Genomic DNA, 26,180 nt, shown 5'->3' with positions numbered 1-26,180 from the left:
AACACTCAAAAGATTATAATATGTACACTATACTATTCTGAATAGTTTGTGTTTTCTCCTATAGGAAATGAGGTATCTTCATTTGTTTTAAAGTTTTCACTTGAAGAAGTGATTTGAATACATTTATGCTTATGAAAAGATAACTGTTGGCAGCCTAAAAGATGGATCTGAGGGAGAAGAAACAGAAAAAAAAAACAAATGGGGTTGTGTAACAATCATCAACAAGATGATGAAAAAACTTGATTTTGACAGTGGCAGTGGGCAAGGATGGCAAAAATACCAAAGATATTTATCCAGCCTTGTCTTTTCATCTGTGTTTCAGTTGTATGTTTCTCACTGGTCTCTAAAATACCTCTAATTGTGTATCAACTCAAATTCAACTAAGTAATGAAAATAATAGCCAATATTTATTGATACCTTACTTTGTGGTAGACATTGTTCTAATTGCTTCATCTATATTAACTCGTTTAATCCCCCAGCAACTCTATAAGGCAGGTGCTATTAATATACACATTATCTGAAGGAGGAACCATTGTAGAGTTTCAGTAACTGACCAGTGTCACACAGGATCCTTATTCTTCCTCTGTTTTTTTGAAAACCATAATGTTACATTGTCTGAAACCCGGCTTGATCATTTCTCTTACCTTCTGTTCTATTTGCCTTCATTTCTCTGTATCGCTATCTCTGTCTACTTTTCTTCCTAACCTGGCAGTCTGCATCATTTTAAATGCTGGTTTCTCTGCCTTCAATTTTCCCTTATTCCTCTTCTTTTTACTGCCAGAGAAATATCACTATCATCATGTTATTGAGTTGATTAATGTCTTGGAAAGATGTAATAATTCTCTATCACTCATTGAATCAAATATGTCATAGTATTCAATTCCCAGTAATTGGGCTCATATCATGAATCCAACTCTACTTTCCCCACATTACCCAGAAGAGAACAGTTTCCTTTCTTCTGTAGTTCCAAAATCATTGCTTCCTTTGTGCATATCTATGTTGTTCTTCTAATCTGAATTGTTTTTTATTCCTTTACATCACTTTAACTTTTCTTCAAGATGTGGCTTAACCAAGACTGTCTCCCATGAAATTAAACCAATGTGTGGTTGTTTTCCCCTTTCTGTGAATTCTCTACCATTTACAATAAGCTGTGTTCTGACCTATCTATGCCTTTAGTAGAGCACTAGTCTCCCAGGTAATATGAAGACGGTTGAGCCTGCCCTCATGACCAACTTAACTGACCTGAGCTACATCAAGGTGTTAGTGTGTGGAGGATAGGTGGCAATGCCTCTGCTTAGGCATAAATATGCAAGTTTCTCACAAACATAGAAAGAATATGTAATATTTTTACCAAGGCAATGAAATGTACTACAACTTATGATAACTTCACCTCCAACCAGAATGTTGTTTATTTCCTTCAGAGATATTTCTCTTTACTTTCCACTTAATGCAATTTAAGGAGTCAGAAAGGCCATCATACGATGATTTTACCCCATAGCTGTGTTTTTACTACTCTGTATTATACTTGATTCTACATATTACCTTACAGTGTTAAATAATAATTTCTTTCTTTTTCGGTACTACCAAAAACTTAGAAATAGTATCTTACATTCCACTACACTCAACTTGGCACTTGCCAAGTCTCAGGTTAAAAGAGTGCTTGAAAAAAATGTGTATTTTTAATTTGTGAATACAGGGTTTTATAAGTGTCCATTAAATGAATTGCGGGAAAATCTGATTTTTAGTCTATTTAATAAATCAGTTTCTAGGAGGTCTCCTAATCTCTCACTGTGATTATTGATTTGTTCATTTCTCTTTGCAATTTTGTCAGTTTTGCTTGATGAATTTTGAAGTTATATTGCTGTATGGATTAAAGATTGTTATAACTTGCTTGTAAATTGTTCCTTTCATTATTGACTAAAGACCGTCTTTGTATCTACTAATGCCTTTTGCCTTAAATTTTATTTTGTTAAACAGTGCATCTAATCTTATCTAGTTAAGTACTCATCAGTAGTGGTTTCACAATGAAATAAATGATTATTTTATGGCTCCATTTTCAAAATGATGTTTAAAACCATGTTAACTTAATGGATATATGTGATTGGCAACCATGTATTAGAACTTGATCTTGAAAATGAATTATGTGGGCATGTTACAGTAGTCAAATTACTATTCGGATGAAATGATACTAAAAACAGTTGACATTTCATATTTAATAGCACCATTGATTCATGTTCATAACTTAACATTGAATGTTAACATAAAGGTTGTGTAATTTATTGTACTTTAATGTCCTTTAAGACTATCCAAGCCTGTTTAGAAAATAGTGAAGCAAGTATCAACTACATTGACTTCTGTCACTTTGTTTTCTGAGAACTTGATACACTTACTTGACATAAAATAGCACAAGCTACCTTAGATTTAAGATACTTATTAATTCTATAAATGACATATCATTTATTTTAGCCAGAAACAAAACATATCATCATAATATATTAAGTTCAGCCAGCTTCTACCGATTTCATGTCAGGCACTGCTAAGCACTACATATACAAAGGAAGAAAGCAGGCCTGTCCCTTTAGTGTTATTTTCGGACTGAAAACAAAATCTCAATATAATACGGTAGGTACCACAATAGAATTTATGCAAGAGTTACAGAAACCATACATTCTTATTCATAGTTTACTAATGGTGATGCTGTAATTACACACCTAAGATGGTAGTCAATTGTTTTTTCTGTAATACAGAAAAAATATATAAAAGAGGGACTTAAATTAGAACACTTTTTTTTTTTTTTTTTACTACTTTAAGTTCTGGGATACATACGTAGAACGCGTAGGTTTGTTACATAAGTATACATGTGCCATGGTGGTTTGCTGCACTTACCAACCCATCATTTAGGTTTTAAGCCCTGCATGCATTAGGTATTTGTCCTAATGCTCTTCCTCCCCTTGTCCCCCACCCTCTGACAGGCCCCAGTGTGTGATGTTCCCCTCCCTGTGTCCATGTGTTCTCATTAGAACACATTAATTTAACACACAAAGTCAATAAACCTACTAAACAAATTAGGGGGTGTGAAATTTCCTTTCTGGAAATACCTTCTAAAAATAGTTATTAGTAAATATTCTCGCTGAATGTTTTACATATTCTAGATTAACTTATGCTTCTCCCATGCCTGTCTTTCACTCCTTCCCTCAAACTTGATTGATACCCTGTTACCTGTATTTCATTGCACTACTGCAATGCTTATGCTAGAAATCCAGAAGCCATCCATGATAATCCTGCTTCCTAACCCCCTTTTGATTGGCCTTCATCAAATCCTGGCAGTTTTTACTTTGAAATACATTTTGAGTCCATCTGCATTTCTTCTCCACCACTGCCCAAGTTCCTCCACTTTTCACTTGTGCTGTTCCAGAAGGCATCTTCTCTTGCTTTATCTCTTGTCTATTTCATTTTCTCAAAGAGCTACCAGAGTTATCTATTTAAAAATATTACATCTAATAATCATGTGCTTACTTTCTCAAAACTTTTTGATAACTTCATATTGATCCTATGATAAAATCATCTCAGGCCACGCTTTGAAATCCCTGTGATTCAGCCATGTTGACTTTTCTTAATATATCTTGTATTCTGTCACTCCCCTCCCCACCCTATGGTCTTTACTTTTTAATTCTTTTAATTTGTAATACTTTTAATTCTGTTGCGTTACTTTTTCTTTCTTTGTTTTTTTGTTTTTTGTTGGTTGGTTTGTTTGGTTTTTTGGCCTCCCTATGACTGATTCTTCAGGTCTCAGCCTGAAGAATATTTGTTACTTTGAGGAAACCTTTTTTAACTCTGTAAAGGACACCTTATTTTTCCCCTTTCTAATTTTTATCACACTGGTAAATATATATGTCATTGTCTTTTTCACCTCCAAGATTATAAGCTCCTGAGAAGAAGAACAAAGGTCTGCTGAGCACAATGTCACATCTATAGTAGGTGCAAATATTTGTTGAATTAAAAAGCTTGCATTAATTAATGAAAATAATGAATTCAAAAGGTTGATTTAAAAATATATAAAGACCTAAAACATCTCAATTATATCATTTTTTAATGCTATGATTTTTGAAATTAAATTCAAAGCCATTTTATGTGAACAACTGTCATATTTAAATTTTTTACTTCAAAATATGTTATCTAGTCTTATTACTCAGTATTTCATAACACTATACCAAATGAATTTTGTCTGCTTCCAAAAAATAAACTAACTCTTTCAGGATGAAAGTTTATTATTTTGAGAATATCCAAAAGAATGTGCTGCAGTATGTGAAGGCATATCACCCTAAAATAGTAAAAACTATGAGATAGTGAAATAATTTAAAATTTTGGGTGAAACAATAAACAATTTGTTCTAGATAAAATTTAAGAAGTTTTTGAAATATGTTATATTAGATGCATACTGTTTCAGATCTGTGCTAACAATAGTGTTAAGGGAAAAAAACTGAATTTTTTGACTTTAAGTTTCTTCTTATGAGTTTAATTTCTGTAAATTTCAAAAGAAAAAGGTGAAACAATGAAACAAATTTTAAATATGCTTAACCAGAAATTTTAAGTTCTTTCAGAGGAGATGTGCTTTTTTGTGTAAACTTTTTACTGACGTATATGGGATATGATATTTTTAGAAGATGAGTATGTAGTGATGACCTTCTTCCTGGAAAAATCAACACACAAACTAAAATTACAATGATTCATGCTATTGATGCAAAGCTCTACCTCCATGATTGTAATCTGTTCTGTGACAAAGACGTTTTAAAGAACTTCTTAAATAGAAGTGCTGTGCTTATGCAATCAGAACAAGTGTGCTTTGGATTCTAAGACAGGGCCATTCTAGGATGATAGAGGAAGCAGATGAGAGAGGTCCCACAGCAGACCATTGGCAGGAAGTAGATCTGCCTTGGAGAGCTTATAGACTGGTACAGGTAATAGGCAGAGGTACATGCAAGTAGTCACCATTAGGATGGTATAAAATGAACAGTGGGAATGCTTTACAGGTAGGAAAAACTATGCACCAGGAGTAGATGGCAATAAAAAAATGGTGATCTAGGCAGTTGAACTAACTGTTGATATCAAGGGAATCCAACTGCAGGTAGTGCAGACTCAGCAGTGGAAATGGAAGTCCAGTGGCAGATACAGTCCCTTAGAATTAATATGAGGAAAGAACTCTCAAGAATGTTAGCTCTACTGAAGACCATTATCCTTAGCAAACTAATGCAGGAACGGAAAATCAAATGCCACATGTTCTCAGTTATAAGTGGGTGCTAAATGATTAAAAGATGTGGACACAAAGAGGGGAACAACAGACACTGGGGCCTCCTTGAGGATGGAGGGTGGGAGGAGGGAGATGATCAGAAAAAATAACTACTGGATACTAGGCTTAGTACCTGAGTGATGAAATAATTTGTACAACAAACCCCTGTGACATGAAATTACCTATATAGCAAACCTGGACATGTACCCCTGAACCTAAAAGTTTTTTAAAAAAATGTGAGCCCTAGTCTCTTGAGACATTCAGATCCAGTTGGATGGGAACCGAGTCAGGGAATCTAGCAAATAGAAGAAAGAAATGAACTCTCTTTTGGCACAAGGATTAAAACTAGATCCTAATTACTTTGAATCAGAGTACAAGGTCAAAATAGAGACCATCAGCAAGTTGATATGAATGGTGAATCCTAGATTATGGTTTCAGTTGTATTTATATTTTCCCTGCCATAGGAACTAGCTTCACTACAGTCTAGATGGAATTGGTGGGACCTTGTCAACAATTAAAGGGCCATTCCTTTGTGAATGAGAGGAAGGCAGAGTTAGAGGCCTGGCTGGCAAAATAGCCGAAGAAAAGATGCAGTGTGTGCCATTCTTCTTCCCCTCCCTGTGCTTCCCTCCTCTTAACTGTGGAAGGGAAAAAACTATTCACACAAGGCACAATTCAAAGCCACTAAAAGAGCTATGAGACCAGGGGAACCACAACACTTAGCTTTGTAAAACATGGAATTTATTTTTAACCAGAAGAAGAATTGCTTTAACCAAAATGATAGAATTAGCAAGTACATACTGCAATAGGCCAAGTACAGTAACGTTTTAGGATCCGTAGTTTACTAGTTTCTAGATACCTCATGAAAAACTATTATCCAAAATGAAATAGTCATTTAGGAGCAGGAGTGGGAGAATATTAGTTTTCAGTTGCTGCCATAGCAAATTACCACAAATTTAGCAGCTTAAAACAATGAGTTTATTATCTCACAGTTTTGTAGGTCAGAAGTCTGGGATTGCTGGGCTGATTTCTTTGTTCCAAGTTTCACAAGGTTGAAATTAAAGTGTGGGCCTGCCAGACTCTTACCTAGAGGCTCTGAGAAGAATTCACTTTCAAGCTTATTTAAGTTCTGGGCAAAATTCAGTTTCTTGTAGTTGTAGGAATCAGTGAGGGGTGCCCTAAGCTTCACAGGCTTACAGGATTTAGAAGCCCCACATTCACAGGCTCTGGGGATTAGGACATAGATATCTTTGAGGGGCCATTCTGCCTACCACAGAGGGGAAAAAAGTTTTTCCTAAGGGATGACTATAATTATCCAGTTTATCTTACTAGGTGTTAGTAAGAATAGTAAGAACTGTACCTAGACTCTCAAATAGAAGCCCTGGGATTTTTACAATGAATTAAATCATTTATTGGAAAGAGACAAAGGCTTCCATCTTTTAGGTCAAAAAGGAGAAAGTAGGGAATGACCAGAATATATAATGGTTTACAACTTGTGAAAGCGGAGACAATGTTAATATTTCTAACACCTTTTCCTTGTGTTTCTCTTTAAACTATGGTATTTCGAAATGCTCTTTAAGGTTATTTTATTAAGTATTTGGCTAAATGTTATTTGTCTGTGTGTTGGCGGTAGGGAGTATATTTAATGGAAAAGCTCACATATACACCTAGAGTTTGACCATGTGGCTGTAACGCTGATTTATTGCTCTAGTAAAAATTTACCCAACCTCTGAAATTCATACGAAGACAATAAATGCTTCTTGAGAGCTGAACATATAACATGAATGCTAAAATATCTCAATGATATTTCATTTTTCAACAGAAAGTTTTTATGCTATTTAACTTTTTTAATAACTCATTTTGAGAGGTAATTGCACTAAATTGTGACTTTTGTGTAATAATGAATCAGTACGTCTTAGCCTCAGGCACATAGAAGGCACCTACTATTTGGGATGCACGTACAAATGTGAATGTATCACCCAGAGATTTTTTTCTCGAAACAAATTGCTTATGTTACACTCTTTCTTGTTATCTACCTTTTCTGGTTAAGCTAAATACAGAATGCAAGAAGCTCAGTTTCTGCACCATTAAACATGGCTGCTTATTCTGAAAATTAACAGTGAAAAATCAAAGGCCACCTCCTAAAGTATTTTAATACTTTTAATGAAATTTTAATTGTTTTTATCAGAGTCCTTTTGCACTTCTCTTGCACATAAAACATTTATTTGGCAAGAGTGGTTGCTTCTCCCTTGTTACCTATCAGACTTCCCATGTTTCATGGCTTCCATATGAAAAGTTCGCCTTTTGTAGAAATCACCAGCCAGTCACAGCACTCTTATTTTCATTTGCATGGCAAATACCAGCTACAATATTTAGATCACCAACTCTTTGGCCCTTTATCTGTTTTTAGATGCTAAGGATCTACTTCTTTGTGGAATATTTTGGTTTTGTTTATTTGATTTTGTTTTTGATGTTATTTCTGGGTCTCTCTCTTGCTCTTTTGGAAGCCTAAAGGATTGAATACTATTCTGTGGATTCTTTGTGAAAATAACATGTAAAATATTTTTGTGATTGAAAAACAGACCAAAAAAAGTAGCACAGTGAATGATACTGGTTCTCCAGACTGTGAGTGGGTGACTAAGTGAGGTGGCCCAGGGTAGAGTACGTGGTGCTAAAAATAAATTTGTGTCCCTGTGCAAACAAATGCCCAGGAATAATGTAAATGATTTCTAGGTTATTTCTAGTACCTAACTTTCCAAAATAGAAAAACTTGTTCTTCATAGTCTGAAAATTAAAATGCTTCAAATCTTATTTTATTGAAATGAATTATTTTAAAGTTAGAAATATCTGCATTTTATTTAACAAATTTTAGGGATTAGGTTTATTTGAAGTAAACTTAATATGTGGTCATATTTTCTAGCTATTGACAAAACTGGGTTTGTGTGTGTGTGAGTAAACAATCATTTTCATTTATGTTAGAAATAAGACATTCCAGAAAGTTTATAAAAATTGTATTTAAAAAAATCACTCAGGTACGTTACTCTAAGCTAATACTATTTATTCACCTACAGTCTTTTATACGTTACCTTTTATCATTTGCATAACTAAAATCATGTTACACTCAATTCTGTATTTGGTATGCTTCACATGGCATTATATCACCAACGGGTTCCCACATTTCTCAAATAATGCCATTTGTAAGCATTGTTTTTAATGGTTGAATCATGTTCCATAATTTAGATGTACTGCAATTTACGCATTATATTACTGATGAATTTTTGGGTTACTTTGAATATTTCTTACTGTAAATATATCACAGAACACATTTTATGTATACTGTTTTTCTCACCGTTCAGAATTTATATTTGGATAGTTTCGGAAAAGAAGGGTCACTTAGTCAAATTTATTAATATTTTTATAGCACATGATATATACATGTAATGTGATTTCTACAAGTGTACTAGTTTCCCATGATACCAATAAACTGTAAAAATCCTTCTGGCAAGATTCTTAAGCATATTTCCCCAGTCATCAATAACATTGCAACTGTTTATCTAGTTGTTAATAACATTTGCAAAAAATGACCCTTGTGAGGTTTACCAGATCTTTGCTTTACACCTATTAACTAAAAAGATTTTCCCCAACTTTCCAACATTACAACAAAAAAGAAACTAAGTACGAACATTGGAAAGGTTCACATTATTCCAGGCAAGTAATTTAAAGAGACCAATACCTAGATATAGAATTGAAACATCTGAGAATTAAAAGTATCAGGAAAATGTCCTTCAAATCTTTAGAAGATAAAAACAGATGATATCCCAAGGAACAAAAATCAAGGTGGTATCAGACTTCTCTGTACCACTAAATACTAGACAACAGTAGTTAACTATAGTTTGATGAGTGTCATCAAAGACACTTTCCTATATATAAGGATTTGGAAAACAATATCCATTTACTCTCTGTTAAACTAAGAAATGTATAAAAATTAAAACTCAAGCATAGTGAAGTTATGTTATTAAAAAATTAGATAAAGTTGAAGTCATTATTTTGGATGCTAAGAGTATGGTTACAAAATTGAAGGTTAAGGTCAAAAATTATTACTGAAGAAGAGATGATAAAAACAAAAATGTATGCCTAAAACACCAGATGTTTATAATAAGGATTGGGACATGGAAGAGGGAGATATAGAATAGGAAAAATAAGCTAGCTTCTTCATTTTTCATAGGTAAAGGCAAACAATATTGTTTGTCTTAACTTTAATACCTTTAAAGCATAGGATAAAGAAAGTTTTTTTTCTGATTTTAAAGGACATCTCATTAGATGCATTTTAGAAACTTTTCTACTAACAAGTAAAACAGTTAAATAAAATATAGCCATAAAGTTTAAAAATAAATGGATGGGAGATGATTTATTATGCAAACACAAAAGGAAAGCTGAGCTTGCAATATTAATTTTGGACAAAATAGATTCAAGGCAGTGATTACTAAACATGAAAAAGAAAGTGACTTAATAAAGGATAGAATCCACAGTAAAGATAAACATTGTGCTAATGAACATAGAATTAAAATATGTAAGGCAAACATTGGTAGAGGCACAAGGAGAAATGGACTGACAACAGTGTGGGCATTGTATATATATTTGAAAGAGCAAGGGACAAAAATTAGAGACAATATGAAGATATTAAACCAATAGATTAAAATGTAGACAGAGAATAAGGATATTTACTAAGTATCCATGGGAAATTATAACAATCATTGATTAGACCACAAAAAAAATTGTTTAATAAATTTCTAAATACAAAAATTGTATAATACATCTTACCTGGCCACAATTGGAAAACTAGAAAAAACAAATTAAAAAATAAAACCTCCAACTATTTGTGAATTAAAGCATATCTTTTATTACATCTGCAAACTTGATATTGGTATTCTCATTTTTTTCGTAAATCATTGAATTACTGTAATATTCATTGCCAGTTGCATTCAATAACTGGCAAATAAATTATAATCATTAGATGGCTTAAGAAAAAAATTGTGAACACCAATGTCAAACTTTGCAGATGCAACCAAGGGTAGATTCAGAGCCAAATTTGTAGTTTTATATTCTTTGCATTTTAAAAAGGGGAAAATAGACCAGGCGTGGTGGCTCACGCCTATAATCCCAGCACTTTGGGAGGCTAAGGTGGGTGGATCACTTGAGGTCAGGAGTTTGAGACCAGCCTGGCCAACATGGTGAAACCCTGTCTCTACTAAAAATACAAAAAATAGCTGGGCGTGGTGGCAAGTGCCTGTAGTCCCAGCTAATTGGGAGGCCGAGACAGGAGAATTACTTGAACCTAGGAGGCAGAGGTTACAGTGAGCCAAGACAGCACCACTGCACTCCAGCCTGGGCAACAGAGTGAGACTCCATCTCAAAAAAAAAAAAAGAGGGGGGAAAATAGCTACTAATTTAATTAAGATGTTTGAAAATAAATAAAACCTTTAAAAGGCTGGAGAATGCAAATAATTTGTTAAAAAGAAGTAAACATGTTAATGAAACAGAAAAAAAGTAAATTAATAGACCAATTCCTGGCAAAGATGATGAGAATGCTAATTCAGTTTAAGAGGGAGAAAATAAATCATCATCTCTGGGGGCCTACAATTCAGAAAGACAGTCCAGGGCAGGCGGGCAGACTCTGCTCCACGAAGTCATCCAGAGATTGAAACTAGCAGGTGCTCTGCCATTGTATAAGGCATCCTTTTTTTTTGGTCTGCATGGCAGAAATTAAATCTCTGAAACATTTGTGTTCCAGACAATAGGAGGAGAAAGAAAGGAGGGAGCATTACAAACAAGATCTTAAGACCAATGTTCTGGAAGTGACATGTGTCTCTTCTGCTCATATTCCATCAGTAAGAACCTGATTTTTGGTGAGAACACAGGGGACTGAGAAATGTAATATAGCTGGGATGCCATGTGCCTGGCTGGTAGAAGAAAGGAAAAACATATTTTTGTGGTCTACTTAGCAGTGTCTCTCACACCTGCTACAGTGGACCTTTATAAATTATGTAAAAGTAGTGTATATATGGATAAAACTAAATATTTCAGTGACATGAAGTGTTCTGAGAAAATGTAAATGAACCAAATTGAAGAAAAGAGAAGTAGAAAATATGAAAAGATAATAATTCTTTCCAACATTGCCTTTGTCTAAGGCAGTTTTACTGCTTTACTGCTGTGTCTTTTAACTTTCAATAAGTAGATAAATACCATATTATAGAAACTTCTTCAGAGCATTATAAAAAACAATTTGCCATCAATTCCTTTTGAAAAGGTAGAATAATCCTGATGCTCAAGCTTGAAAAATATAATACATCAAAGGACATTCTAGACCCATCTCATTGAGAATAGAGATGTAAAACTCCTACATAAAATATTACCAAATATAATTCAGTAGCCTATTAAATGCATCATGCATGATGATCAAGCATGACTTATCTCAGAAATACAATGAAGATTTAAGAAAACTATCAATATGTGATTACTTATATCATGCTTCCCAAAAGAAACACTAAATAATACTACTCCAAAAATGAAAAGGCAAAAAGCATATTTTCTTATTCCTGATTTCTTTGAAAATTGTTTTTTATAGTACTAGGCAAAGGATGATTTTTTAGTATGATAAATAATATGTCCTCAACCAATAGCCAAAATATTTTACTGTGCTTTACACTAAAGTTGCCAACATAAGATACCTACTATCATTATTTTAAGTGTTTCTCATAAAGTACCTACAGATGGCTTATGTCTTAGTTCATTCTGTGCTGCTATAACAGAATATCCGAGACTGGGTAGTTTATAAAGAACATAAATTTATTTATTATAGTTCTGGAGGCAGGAAAGTCCAAGATTAAGGCACCAGCATCTGGGTCTGGTGAGGGCTTTCTTGCAGCATCCTCACATGGCAGAGGGAAAGCTACAAAAAACTCCTTCCATCAAGCAAGCCCTTTTATAAGGACGTGTAATACCATTCTCAAGGGAGGAACCCTCAAGACCTACTCACCTCCTAAAGGGCCCGCCTCTTAATACTATCACACTGGCAACACCTGAATTTTGGAGGGGACACATTCGTACCATAGCATCTTAAAAAGAGTACAGATGGCTAAATAAGGAAAATCTATAATCCCCTGCTCAGCCTCTTCCTACTCACCCTTCCCTTTAATCCCCTTTCCAGTTTCTAATAATCATAGCACTATTTTAATTTCTCTATTATTATCTTCATATACTTAAAATACTTTTCATACACATGAAATTATTTTTCCTATTTTACCAAATATAGACTGTCTTGATTCTTCACTGTATAATTAGGCAAACAGTTCTCTAGCATTCTTAGTAAATAAATTGTTATTCAGTGTGTAGAATCTTGATAAATGCTAATTGTGTTTAGTAATAAATTGCATCCTAATTTTATTTTTAAACAAATTTGTATTTAATGCCTGTTGCTTTGAAACTTTCATACAGAGTATATACAACTTTTTTTCCCTACCAGAGACCAACAGTGATAATAACTAAATTTAAAAATAAGAAGGTTTTTAACTTTTATTTCAAGTTTTTATTTAACAGGACAAAAATATAAAATAGGAGTATATTTCTCTGTTCTTGAAATTCAGAAAATATGGAATTAGAATAAAATATTTTTAAAAATCAGTCACATAATAGCATTTCAGAGAAATGGGGAAATGGGAAATGATGAAATAAATAACATAAACATATTGACTCATGCTTTCTTAGAGGGTAGAATGATATAAGTTCAAAAAGTTCCAGAGAAGATGACCACACAAACTGAACAAAATGTAAGTACATAGAACATGAAGAAAGATATCATGGTAACTCTATAAGTTCATTTTAATATTTCCTTGAGAAAACAAATAATTGTTCCATACTTTAATTGATTTGAGAACACCAAATTTAAAATATTGGATTTATAAAAAGTCAGTAAAATTATATTTGTATTTTGGGAAAATGAAAAAGAAATAAAAAAGTTGTCACTCTCCAAAAAAAAAAAAAAAAACTTGAAATTTAGGACAGATGGCTAAGTAAATGCTTCAAGAGCAGTTAGAAAATACATTATCTGGCAGTGCATGATAAAAGCATGCAAATTGATCTGTTAGAAGAAACAAAACAACTTTTAATGATAATATTGTTATATCTGCACTGAAGTCTTATATATTCAGTTTAGTTGGAGGAAATACTGTAAACCCATATTATTTGTATGTTTTTCTCTTTTAAGAGAGAGCTATAATGAAAACTCAACCCTAAATAGTCGTGGATATATTATATAATAAAGGATTTTCTATGCTACTCCAATGGGAATTCACATAAATTCAGTGAAACTAATGCTTTCTAGTAGTTCTTAACTGTAATTAAACTATTTGCTCTCCTTTTGTGATTTTTGTCACAACATCATAGAGTAATAATACATGCTTTATGGTTCAGGCCCAACAACAACTTTCTGTGGATCATGGATAAATTTGACTCATGAGTTTTGGAAGTTAGCTTGAGAGAAGTCTCAGAAATTTCAGCAACATATCCGAAGAAATGTGGTACTTCTCCCATCTAAATAAATTTCTAATTCCAAAAACTTCTTATTTACCTTACAGTTTCAAAGCTTGCATTATTTATTTGCTACTGTATATAAATTAGCAGGTTAGGCAGTTTGAGAAATATACTCTTTTACAATGCTGAGAGCACCATTTAGTGTACCTCTATAGCGTTTATTATCAGTATATGTTAATGATCAGCATAGGGTACCAAATGGTACCCTAAGCTGAGTCCGTGTAATACAGTAGAGAGGGAATAATCTTTTGCCAATAAATTGCAGCAGAGTGAATGGATAATTTAGCTAAAAAGTGTGGTCCACAAAGTGAAGTTTGGGCTGAAATGCTGTGGACTAGTGCTTTATACTGGGTGTACTGGATAATTACCAGCATTCAGCACACTTCACTTTGTGTCTTTAGGTCAAGGCTAGAAGTTACTATCACATCAGATAACTCATGCTGGATACAATGAATCATCTAGCTATAAAAATCTTTATTTTCAAGACACTTCTCTTGTTGTGCCTAAAGTATGAATATTAAGAAAGAGGAACTTCCACAAAATTATTGTGCCACTTTGAAGGAATAGGTACAAACTGTAAAAATGTGGTACATCTTGAAATGTAGGAAGGGAAATCAGTTAGTAGTCACTGTAACTGGATTCATTCATTTGTTTGATTTGTTGATTGCTTGACTATCCTATTTAAAATTACAATCCTTGCCTATTTTACTGGGAATTCTCTATTCCCCATCCTTTTTTCTTCTTAGATCATGGATAAATATATTTTGTTTGTTTTACTCATTGTCTTTCTTCCCTCAGTAGAATGCTGGCTTTATGAGGGCAAAGATTTTTTTTCCTATTACATTAACTACTATATTACAAAACTTAAAAATCCTTTACTATATGTAAGAAGAGAGAATAAATTCAGTATTCTTATTGAATTTATTAAATAAATTTAAAGCATAAGATGAAAATTCAGAAGCCATTTTAAAGGTTTAACTTGCTTAAATCTTCATCAAATGATTTATTTTGTTTTGCTTTTACGTAATAGCAAGAAAAAAAACCCAGGAAACATATATAATTAAGAACTTTGAAGAAAACCCTACCAACCTAGCATATGATATACCTTTAAACAATGTAGCCTGCTAAAAAAGAAAAAAAAAATAAGCAATTAGTCAAATATTTAACTGTGAATTTTACATGTTTCTTTACCAGCATCCTTACCTGTTGAATTTTAGTTCAGCTACAAATGAATACAAATGCCTATTCCTTTGAATAGAGAAAAAAACATATTTTATATACTTCTTAGGCAACTGGAATTGAGGGAGAAATTACATCTCTGAACTACACTAAAAAGTTTTAGTAATTCAGTAAATTCTGTTTTGTCACTTTGTACATATGCTCAGTGTTACAGTATACATTTGAAAGTACAGGTGAGTGTGATTTCCAAATTTGTCTTTTTTAATATGTCTTTTTGTTGTTATACAATTTTCTATTCTGCAGTTAATTAGAACAATAGTGATAGGCTATGTCTAGCTTTTCATACTAAGAGCAACTTCTACATGACAGTAATTTCAGCCATAAAGATATAGATCAAATCTTTCTTCCTAGATCTGGATGTAATCGTATTTATTTAAACTAAAAGAGGTTGTGTTTGATGATATTTTTTCTTCTTACTGTAACATTGTTGTATTAAAATTTTACGCAAGTTTAGTTAAAATGAAAAAAAGCAATTTGCTTCTCTTTTTTTAAAACATGAATGTTGCTATATAAAGCTCAATAGAGCAATAACTGACAAATGGTAGGTATTCCATTAATGTGCGCTAATTGAAATTGCATGGTTTTTCTTAGAATAATAGATCCATGTTTCATCTTAAAATCTAAGAAATACTATTTCTTCTTTTATATTCATATGCCTTATCAGAAATTTAAAATTTTGACATTCATAGGTAAGCAACATTTCAGATAATCACGTTTAAATCTAGACTTCCTCAGGAAATACTAAAATCATTGGCCTTAATTATTAACAACTGTCAGTACTATAAAATAAACATATTTAGTTTTTTTAAACAATTTATATACTGGGAAATGTGTGCTACAAACATACTGAGATTTTACATCTTATAATGGAATATTAATGCATGAATGAATACACTGAAATATAGGTGAAGATAGCGCAACAGATACACTAGATACAAGAGTTGCTTTGATTTCTCATCATAGCAGAACTGTTCAATTCAAACTGATCTATCTTCAGCATATTTCTGATCCCTTCTCGACTGTTTTTAGTATTTGTAATATGTCTAATCAGGTTGAGGGATGAAATCTATGATTGTAGAACAGTTGTATGTATAACTGCCCTATGTAAGTATTAAATCTATAATGTTGATTTTATTACAAAGAGTCCAACCCAAAGTTTTTCATACTCCTATTTTATGAAATACCAGGATTCCATGAAATAATTTGCAAGTGAAGTAGACTTTGAATTTTTCAATTTTTTTTTTCATAATTTGTATGAGACTATTCTCTCCAAATCTAATTTATTTCTCCTATTCAATCCCTTATTTACTTTTTTGTCCTCACCACCCTATATACTTTGGCTACCAGTTACAGTATATCAGAAAGTGAATAATATGAGTGTTGCCACCTATAGGCAGGAAATTTAATTATACTTGTTTATGACATAAAAGCATAATCTTAAAAAAAAAGGGAGAATTATTTTTGTCAACTCCTACAATCCACCCCACCATCTTCAAACTTTTTACCTATTTATTCACCTGTTTGTTTTTGATGTTGCCATTTCAGATGCCTGTGCCTTAAAATAAAGCATTTACTAAAGCTTTTATTATTTTGTCATAGTACTATTTGCATTTACTATATCATCAAAATATACCACATTATTTAAGTTCTTTGACTTCACAAAGTTTAAAGAGATTTGTTAAAACCAACTAATTTAACCAGTCATATACTAAACTGTTGTATCTCAGTTTACTTCTAGGATGGGGAAAATTACCAGTATTTGTTCCCAGGCATGAAAGAGCATCCCGTCCTGCAATCTATTATCATTAGTCTTTGGTTTTGTGCCTTCTCTGTAATGATATAGGTTTGTTTCTCCTTTATTCTTTGCAGAGTGCTGCAGCAGCTCCCAGTCCAGTGCTAGGAAACATTCCCCCAGGAGATGGCATGCCAGTAGGTCCTGTACCACCAGGGTTCTTTCAGGTACTCAGAGAAACTCTGACTAGGAATGTTAAAGCATAGGAACTCCTGTTTGATTTTATTAAAGATACGAAGGAAGATAAGGCTATTTTAATTTTTAAGGTAAATAATAATGTGTAGCCAACTCTTGATTATTCAGATGGGTTATCTATTATATCCCTTTCTTCTTATGTTTTATTTGTTATTAGATTATGTATTTATTTACTTAGTCATTTTGTTGCTCAATTAAGAAAGAAAAGGAATTGAGAAATACAAATTAGCCCATTAAATTAACTGTGGTAAATATTTTGTGGGAGAACAGACTAAATATGAGGTTCTGGAAAGAGATGGATATTAACTATACAAGCATAGACAAGATGATTAAGATTTGGCTGTAATTTCAAAATATAACTAAATTATAATTTATTAATTTATCAAGAATTACAGGCTATATCAAAATATGTTTGAGAATTATCTTTGGGGCTTTTAAGCTGGAATTTTTATTAATATTATATAACATTTTAAGATCAGATTTCAAATACATGTGAGTATTCTTAAATTTCAACAAGACCACTTATTTTAGCAATGATGATAACAATTTTACAATGACAATACAGTATTTAACTTTTTAAAATTTCACAGCATCCACTTCTTAAATCTGACAGTTTTCTAACTCAAACCAACATAAATTTCGAAATTCATTTTTAAATTAATTATAGTTAATTTTATAATACCGTTTAAGAAAATTAAGAACTTAGGAGCTAAGAACTAGAGTCGAAAGGCATTACAGGACCTAAGGTAATATGCTGTATTGTTAATGAATTACATTAGGTACTTATAAACTAATTTGTCACTTCCATTTTGTATTTTCAGAGTTCTTCATAATCATTTGTTAGCTAATTCAAATTCACACCATCATTGCAGGGTCATCAATGTACTTATAAATGTGAAAATAAAGAAATAAAATTATAAATAATTTTCCAAACCGTATCAGTTGAATAAAAGGTCTTAATTAAAGCAGAGATCCAACTCTAGTCCTTTAGGACATGCTTATTTGTTCAGCTACTCTGTATTAATACCCAAGTAGTCTAGAAAAGTCTTCTTAGAGTCACATTCTGTCGTGGGGGCCCTATCTTATAATCTAGGAATAGACTGTAACTCTTGATTATTAATTAAACCACCAGCATTTAAGATATTGAAAATAAAAGCTTACACTTAACAACTGCTAACTACATGCCATGCTTCATTCTAAATGCTTTACATATATAAACTCTAATCCTCACAATATCCCTAGATGTAAAATATGTATTATTATCATTCCCACTGTACAGATAGAGAAACCAAGGCATTGGTAGCTAAGTGATTTGCACAAAGTCAGAAAGTTACAGGGCTTGAATTCAAATCAAAGTAGTCTGGACTTCTGCCACTGAATTTATCTTTTAAGCCTCGTAGTTGATTGTTATTCATGAAATATTTCCAGTTCATTTTATTTTTTCCTCATTCCCTTCTTTCTCTTACCAAAGATGGGTAGGAGTTAACAGAGTAAATCAGAAAAATATATATTTGAGAGTTACTGAAAGTCTCTAAGAGGCACTTTTAAAAGAGGGAGCAGTTTGGGGAGGAAGCCAGATTCTTTCATTCTAGGGTTAAGCCAAGATGTATAAATCCATACATTTTTCATTTCCACATTTTGTAGAATGAACTGTTCTCCGTTTGCCTATCTTTTATCTCAAAGTCTCGGTAAGAGTAATTGAAACCGTTAGCTTTTAGTTTTTCCAATGTGATAAATATTTGAGTACTACTATATGCCAGGCACTGTAGTAGGCATCTAAAAACTAGCAGGTGTAGTGTGTACCTTCCTGAAGCTTATTGTATAGCCCGTGAGGCATTATTAAAAATAAATAACTATAATACAGTGAAATATGTGTTGTAACAGAGTAAAGTTTAAAGTTCTGTGATGACCTGGATGAGAGAGCCATTAAATCTGCCTGAGTTGGAGATAAGAGTAGATTGGAAAACATTGTCCACCAAAATAAGCAGAGGAATTACATTTCAGAAAGTCAGAATAGTATAAACAAAAGCGTGACTGCATCAAAATGATCTGTGCAGAGGTGTTCAGAGTAATACATACAGAAGGTAGTGGGGAGGGTAGGCAGGAGTTCCAAGACATAAAATTGAAAAGATATGCTATAGCATGGCACATGTTAAGAACCTGAGTATTCAGTAGGAGCCATCAGAGATCTTTAGGAAGGGCAATGACCTGAATTCATACTAAACGGTGGATTCAGGCTCTGGTAGGCACCTGTGAGAGAGTTGTATACAAAATCCCTGCCCTCGAGAAGCCCTACAATGTGATGAATGAGAGAAGAGGCCATTACAGCATAGAAAGAAAATGGCTGTAGTGTGCTCTTAGAGCAAATCAGAAGGCCACCAAACCGAATCTTGGGAGGTGCATAGTTAGGAAAGTATTGTCAAAATAGTAAATGAAATCCAATTTCGCATTTAAGGATGAGTTATGACTTAGGCAAAGGAAGAGAGGGGAAGAAATTTCTAGGAAGAGGGAAAATAATTTACAGAGATCCAGAGGGAAAAGGAGAGAGAGAGAGACCAAGAAAAACTGGAGCTTAATTAGCTAAAGGGAGAGTAGCTGGTGATGAAGCTTGAGAGGGACTGCAGGGGCCTTGTAGGTTAGTAGAGTTTGAACTTGATCCTAAAGGCAGTACTAAACTACTGGAGGATTTTAAGCAGGAGACAGACATGTTCATATTTGCATTTTTAGAAAAATCACTCCAGCTCCATTGTGTAGTCAGAATTGCAGAGGAACAAGTCTGAAGATAGGGAGAGAATTTAGGAGTCTTTTACAGTACTCCAAGTGAATTTTTTTTTTTTTTGAGATGGAGTTTCGCTGTTGTTGCCCAGGCTGAGTGCAGTGGCGTGATCTCGGCTCACCGCAACCTCCGCCTTCTGGGTTCAAGCGAGTCTCCTGCCACAGCCTCCTGAGTAGCTGGGATTACAGGCATGTGCCACCACGCCCGGCTAATTTTTGTATTTTTAGTAGAGACAGGGTTTCCCCCTGTTGGTCAGACTGGTCTTGAACTCCTGACTTCATTATCTGCCCGCCTTGGCCTCCCAAAGTGCTGGGATTACAAGCGTGAGCCACTGTGCCCAGCCTACTCCAAGTAAAATTTAATGGTGGCCTTAACTAAGATAGTGGGATGGTAAGTATGGGGAGATAAGAAGTAGATTTGAGAGACAGAAATAAATGCAGGATATTGCAAAATAAGGGAATTCAAGGATAATAATTCTAGTTTCTGGCTCTAATCTGGGCAGATGTAGGTACCATTTTCTAAGCTAGAGAACACAAAATGGGGAATAGGTTTGAGGTGGGACAGATGAGGTTCCCATGAGTCCTCCAATTAGACATATCTGTTAAGCTGATAGACCTGTCCTAGGTTTGAGGTCTAGGACAGTAATCTAAACTAGAGATAAAAATTGCAGGGCCATATCATTTTAAGGGTACTTGAATCCACAGGGGTAGATGAATTGTCCAGGGAGAAAGTACAGAATGAGAGGGTAAGAGAATATACAACTGAACTACAAAAAACACTAATATTTAAAAGATGAACAAAAGAAGAACCCATTACAGATGCAGTGTTAGTAGGTTGGCTATGATAGCAGCTTAAGGAAGAGACTTTCTGAACTGATTCAAGATCAGTGGCAGTAGAATTAGAAAGGAATAAACAGTTCATAGTTATGTTTGATAGGCCTTAATTAACCAAAGTTAAGGTAGAAGAGAAAGAGAAGAATCAAGGATGATTCTGAGATTTCTACTTTGGGTCTCTGGATAAGTTTAGTGTCTTTATCTGAGTAATGAAAGACAGGAGATTGAAAAACTTTCAGATATATTTGAATTTGATACACAAGTCATTTCTGTTTATCTAGGCAGACTATTTCAACTAATCCCAAGTACTTTTTTCCTCTATTCAACATTTAAATATGTCTCCCTATAAATGACTCTCTAAAATATTAAAAAACTCAAAGTACCAAAAATTTAAAAAAGACATATTATATTATTATCTTTTGGTACATATAATGATGTGATCAAATGACTCAAGTGTGTCCTAAATATCAGCATTGGTTTCCTGCAGTTACTGAACTAGTGTGATTCTGGTCATAATGTCAAAATACATATAGTTAATGAGGAGTAGCTGCTTTCCATGGGTAGAAATAGCAGCAGACAATCATAATTCAAGTTCACACCCCAGTTTCTAATCTAGTTCCAAAGAGATGTTGACCTTCAAGAATGATCCAAATCTGGAGAACCTGTGTTGGAGTATCAGTTCACAGTTCATAAACTCTAATACCCAAGATCAGGCACAATCCTGATTATTAGTTCAGTACAAGGCAAGGAGGAATGGAAGCAACTGGAAAAGAGCTGATGTGGCTCCTTAAAGTAACAAGGCCCAGAAGGCTGGCTAGGATAAAGACTCAGATTCTCCAAAAAGCCAGACTTGGATATTAGGGAATTCCTGGTTCAAAAGAGACTTAGTCAAAAGGGTGCTAAATAGTTTTTCCAGCCTCTCCTGGTTGCAACTACTAAATTCTGAAGGGTGGTTACCTCCTATTGCCTTTGACTTTTAGATAATGATAATATTTTAAACTTATATTCTTAGTAAATGCAAAGCTTATTTTGAGATAGCTTGAATGGACTAGACCGAAAAAGAATTTAGCCTATTAGAATTAGTGAATAAGTAAAAGTAAAGAAGAATAATTTATAATTAGCAAATGAAGTCCCCGCCTAAGTATTTCTGAGCTCTACTTACTTTGTGATCATACTCTAAAAAATACATTGAAACATTTCTCCTAAATAGACAAACATACTCCTTTTTTTCCTGTTTATGTTACAGAACAAGCTCCCTCTTCCATGATAAGTATAGACTTAAATTCATTACCAAGTGGAATGATCACAAACTGAACTTGTGAATACATAACAACTACATTTGAAAAATAGCAATGAATTAAAGTCTAAAATAAATAATTATGATATAACTTGGTACACTTAATAAATCCATTCTGGAAGGCAGTCTTTAGTGTCTTTCTATTTGTGACATTGTTCATACTTAAACTTTGATGTTTTTATTGAAATGAGAGAGCCTCTGTTGCTGAGCAGGAAACCAATTAAGTAAAATCAGTAAGACTAGTCGGACATGCAAAAGGAGGTATAAATTTAATAAAATAAAGCCATTTAAAGTATGACATGTAGTTATTTACTTGGAGTCTGTTTTCAAATGAGTAATTTGTATAAGAAACCCTATAAGTCCTCAGAGTGACACTATGGAACTGATGAATGACTTTAGAGCAGCTTTCTTAAATTGGGAAGTCTTGCTGCTTGGGATCCAGAGGGAAGAGAGTAGACATGGCCATTGATCTAACTAAAAGTTTGGCAGTTTTTGTAGAATAAAGTACAGTATCTTGGTATGGTGTGAATACACATCCATTGTAGGTACCCAGAACTGAGTTTTACTCTTTTATATCTCTGTCTTATTCAAAGATTTCATTGTATGCTAAGAAATTTGAGTTATGTATTAAAAGCATCGATATGCTATTTATTCATTCTTGTGGCATTCATACAAAAGGACAGGCAAAGGACTTTGATTCCTGCAATATAAATAGGCAGCAGCATTCCTTAGACCAAGTGGATTTTCTTCTCACTTATGTATAATGATCAAAATAATTTACTACTAATAAAATGCACTAAATAACACAAAAGTACTAATTCTTTTGTTTAAAAAATTAGATTATTAACTCTGTTACCTTGTAAAGTTCTGTAATTTTATGGATGAGTAAGTAACAAGGAAGCTTCTCTTGTGAATTTCTATAACTTATAGAACATTAATGCAATGGACGTTTCTTATTTTAACCAAAAAAATATCGAGAAGGGTAAAAATGCTTTTTCCTACTTTATGTTCTTTACCACAAGAAAGCTTTTAAGAAGGAAACTATAACTTCCTTATCACTCTAATAACCAAATACATTCATATCCTTTATATAAAAACACAACGTAATCTTTTAATAGGTGCTAATGTGGATAATATCTTTGATTCTGTAACTAATCTGGGATATACCTGTTAATATCTAATTTTGAACTCTATATAGACCTTTGTTTTCTTTTATCATGTATTTTGATTTTTATCTTGATATATTTACTATATTTTAGTCACTAGATCTTTAGTTTTATTAGATGAAACTGTTGAAAACTGATAATATGTTGATGTTGGGTTGTAAATTTAAGACTTTGACGTGGATAAGATTATAAATACATGTTAATGAAAAAGGATACCAAGTAATTTAGTTTCAGACCAAGGTGATCATTCATACTTTAAAATCTAAGTAGAATGAAACTCTGATATAGTAGAAAATATGTGACAGCAGGTTTTAAGTCACATTTGGTTTGCAGGCCTAAGATTGGTAGTGGTAAAGCTGCCTTGCCATCTAGTGGTAGTTTGCAGATGGCTCCACTTGTTCAGGGCCTTTTTCTAGACTTTCTATTTTTAGCAAGGCTGCACTGTAGCAAGCTGACCTAATGCTTTGACATAGTAATAACGCAATAAGAAAAAAAAATAGTAAGAAATTTCCTCTTTTCTCCATGGTGGTGTTATTGACTAAGGAAGGCTCCATATAAACAACATTCATAAAGCAACAAGGACAAAAAGCTCAAAGTGTATAATATTTTTGATATTTTAAAAGAAAAAATCAAAAATGAGAAAAATAATTATTTAATATGACACTCAAAACTAAAAAAGAAAACCAATAATATATGGTTTTATAAGTCCTGGTTAAATGTTTTTGGGAGATAGATGTTTATTTCTGGAAATAAATTCTGCATTTTGAAGATACCTTAGTATCTATATTCATCTACTCTGCTATTCCTATTCAGACTTCCTAAATCCAGCCGTTTATATACATATAGTTAAATAATCTACATGCCCTCTCAATTTCCTTCTGTTATTAGTCTTGGCATTACCTTCACTTCCAGTGGTTTGCCTTTCCTCTTATCTTTCTTGACTATGGTTGTTTCAGAAATTAGTCTCAGAAAGTACTCTAAGCCAGGAGAAACTCCCTTTCCCTCTTAGGAAGTTATAAATACCATCTTAGATCTTAGATAAATGAACCAAAAGATTACTTGTTATATCCTTCTTAGTTTGAATGAGTAGGGTACTGAAACTCTGAAGTAGAATTAATTTATTAGACTAGAATATCTAACAGCATTAATATATATAGTTTAAAAAAATTCAGACGTTAGAAATAGTATTTCTCAGAATTAAATACACCTAGGATTTAGATAGTGGAGGTGAGGAAGTTGGCTTATTTATCAAACCTCAAGAAATAAAAATTAAGTTTAATTTTCTTAAAAATATAATTTTGTATCTTTAAAGAACACAGATTCTAAATGTTGAAAATAGAACAGATCTTTCCCTGTTATAAAGATAAAAGCAACTAAAAAAACAAAGGTGCCTAACAGCTGCTGGCTTTGATAATGCTGTCCTGCAGTTGTGGTAATAGTTTTTCTGGCCTCAACTATTAGAACAAATTAAAACTGCCCAGCTTGAATAACTAAGTAAGCTTTTTTAAAAATTGCAATTCAGGCAACTAAAGACCCTACAGCAGTAACTGGATGGACAGAGAGCAAAGAAGGGAGTGTCAGGTATTCAGAGTCTTTACTTGGGTTTTCCAGTTAGAATCAAATGAAACACTTTCCTATTAGAAATCCAATTTTTTGTTGTTTATTTGTTAGCCAAACTGCGTATTTAGGAGAAATTTAGGCTGGTCATTCTAGACCAGTATTTGGTTTTCCTTTCACTTTTCATGCTACTCCTGCAAGCCAAAGATGTCCAACACATTTAGTATGAAACAATAAAGCATCATAGTTTAAAATCACATCTGAGATAAGAGCTTAGCTATTGTTCAGATCATTTGAAATTATAGTTTTTCTTTTGAAAATATTATTGAAAATTCTTCCGAGTGCTGTAGTTTTTATTGACATTTCTTGATAAAAAAAATTTATATAGAGAGGAAATTGTAAATATGCAAAGGCTATTTATAACACAATTTAATTTAGTTTTTATTTTAGTGTTGGTTACAGAAACAAAAATGCTCCACATTCTTTGGGGAATTAAAGATAAGGAACAGGCATTTAAATATACTATTAATTACATATTTAGGGGGAATAGATTTGTCTTAAGCATATATTAGAAAGACTTTAGCTTTTTAAAAGAATAACTTATTACAAGGTAGCGTTCAGGAACAATTTGTCTTATGTTCTATATCAGGGGTCAACAAAATTTTCCTGTGAAAGGCCAGATAGAAAATATTTTAGGCTTTGCAGGTCACACGGTCTCTCACAGCCACTCAACTGGGTTGTAGCATAAAAGCAACCATAGACATTATGTAAATTAAAGAGCATGGCTGTGTTTCAGTAAAACTTCACTTACAAAAAAAAACAGGTGATGGGCAGCATTTGGCCTGTGAGCCATAATTTGCCTACTTCTGTTCTACATGAATGTGATAAAAGGTAGCCTATGAGAGATCCAAAGGGTAAGGACCAGCGTTTCTCTAAGGGGGTTCTGTGGAATACTAATACGAGAGTCCTGGGAGCCACCCAACTCTTAGGGGACTAGAATTCTTGGGGGTAGGGAGTATGGGGCTACAAATCCTTTAGTTTTAGTTATGGTTTTGTTGTTTGTTTTGTTTTTAACAGATAAGTCTTACAAACTAAAATTTGAGGATCACTAGCTAAGATTGTCAATGATATTTAGCAACAAATATTGCCCCCCTGCCATTCATACCAGAGTCACTACAGTGAACAAGATAAATAGAAATTCTTGTCTTCATAGAACTTAGTCTACTAAGGGAAACTGAGCAAAATAAATAACTATTTTAAAATATGTGATATGTTAGTTGTGATAAGGGCTAGGGAGAAAAATGAAACAGAAAAGAAAACTAGGCAGCATTGCAAAAGTTTTGGATAGGGTGGCCAGAAAAGGGCTCATCAAAAAGATGTATTTGAGTAAAGACCTGAAGGAAGAGAGGGAACAAACCATGTAATATCTGGGGGAAAAGTGCTCTAGGT

General features: G+C 33.2%; 1 protein-coding gene across 91 annotated transcripts in view, besides 1 other annotated feature; it reads left to right on the top strand.

The window, feature by feature from the left end:
- Positions 1-26,180, top strand: part of SSBP2 (single stranded DNA binding protein 2) — a 339,004-nt gene that overhangs the window by 221,106 nt on the left and 91,718 nt on the right. For 76 of the 91 annotated variants that reach the window (NR_174563.1, NR_174559.1, NR_174539.1 and 73 more), the window contains one exon: positions 16,985-17,074. The exons of the other annotated variants lie outside the window; for them this stretch is intronic. Coding sequence is in view for 41 of the 76 variants with exons in the window: in NM_001400351.1 (NP_001387280.1) it covers positions 16,985-17,074 (90 nt within the window). In the remaining 35 variants the exon portion in view is untranslated. The remainder of the gene's footprint in view (positions 1-16,984; positions 17,075-26,180) is intronic. 91 annotated transcript variants of the gene reach the window in all.
- Positions 23,466-23,615: a silencer, noted in NCBI's record as "silent region_16141". NCBI's record gives its function as "represses an Ori minimal core promoter by ATAC-STARR-seq in GM12878 lymphoblastoid cells {active_cell/tissue: GM12878}" and the evidence as "EXISTENCE:reporter gene assay evidence [ECO:0000049][PMID:35858748]".

Source organism: Homo sapiens, chromosome 5 (genome assembly GCF_000001405.40).
Source record: "Homo sapiens chromosome 5, GRCh38.p14 Primary Assembly".
Taxonomy (NCBI): Eukaryota; Metazoa; Chordata; class Mammalia; order Primates; family Hominidae; genus Homo; species Homo sapiens.
The sequence above is the reverse complement of the archived record's forward strand: the minus strand, read 5'-3'. Positions and strand labels throughout refer to the sequence as shown.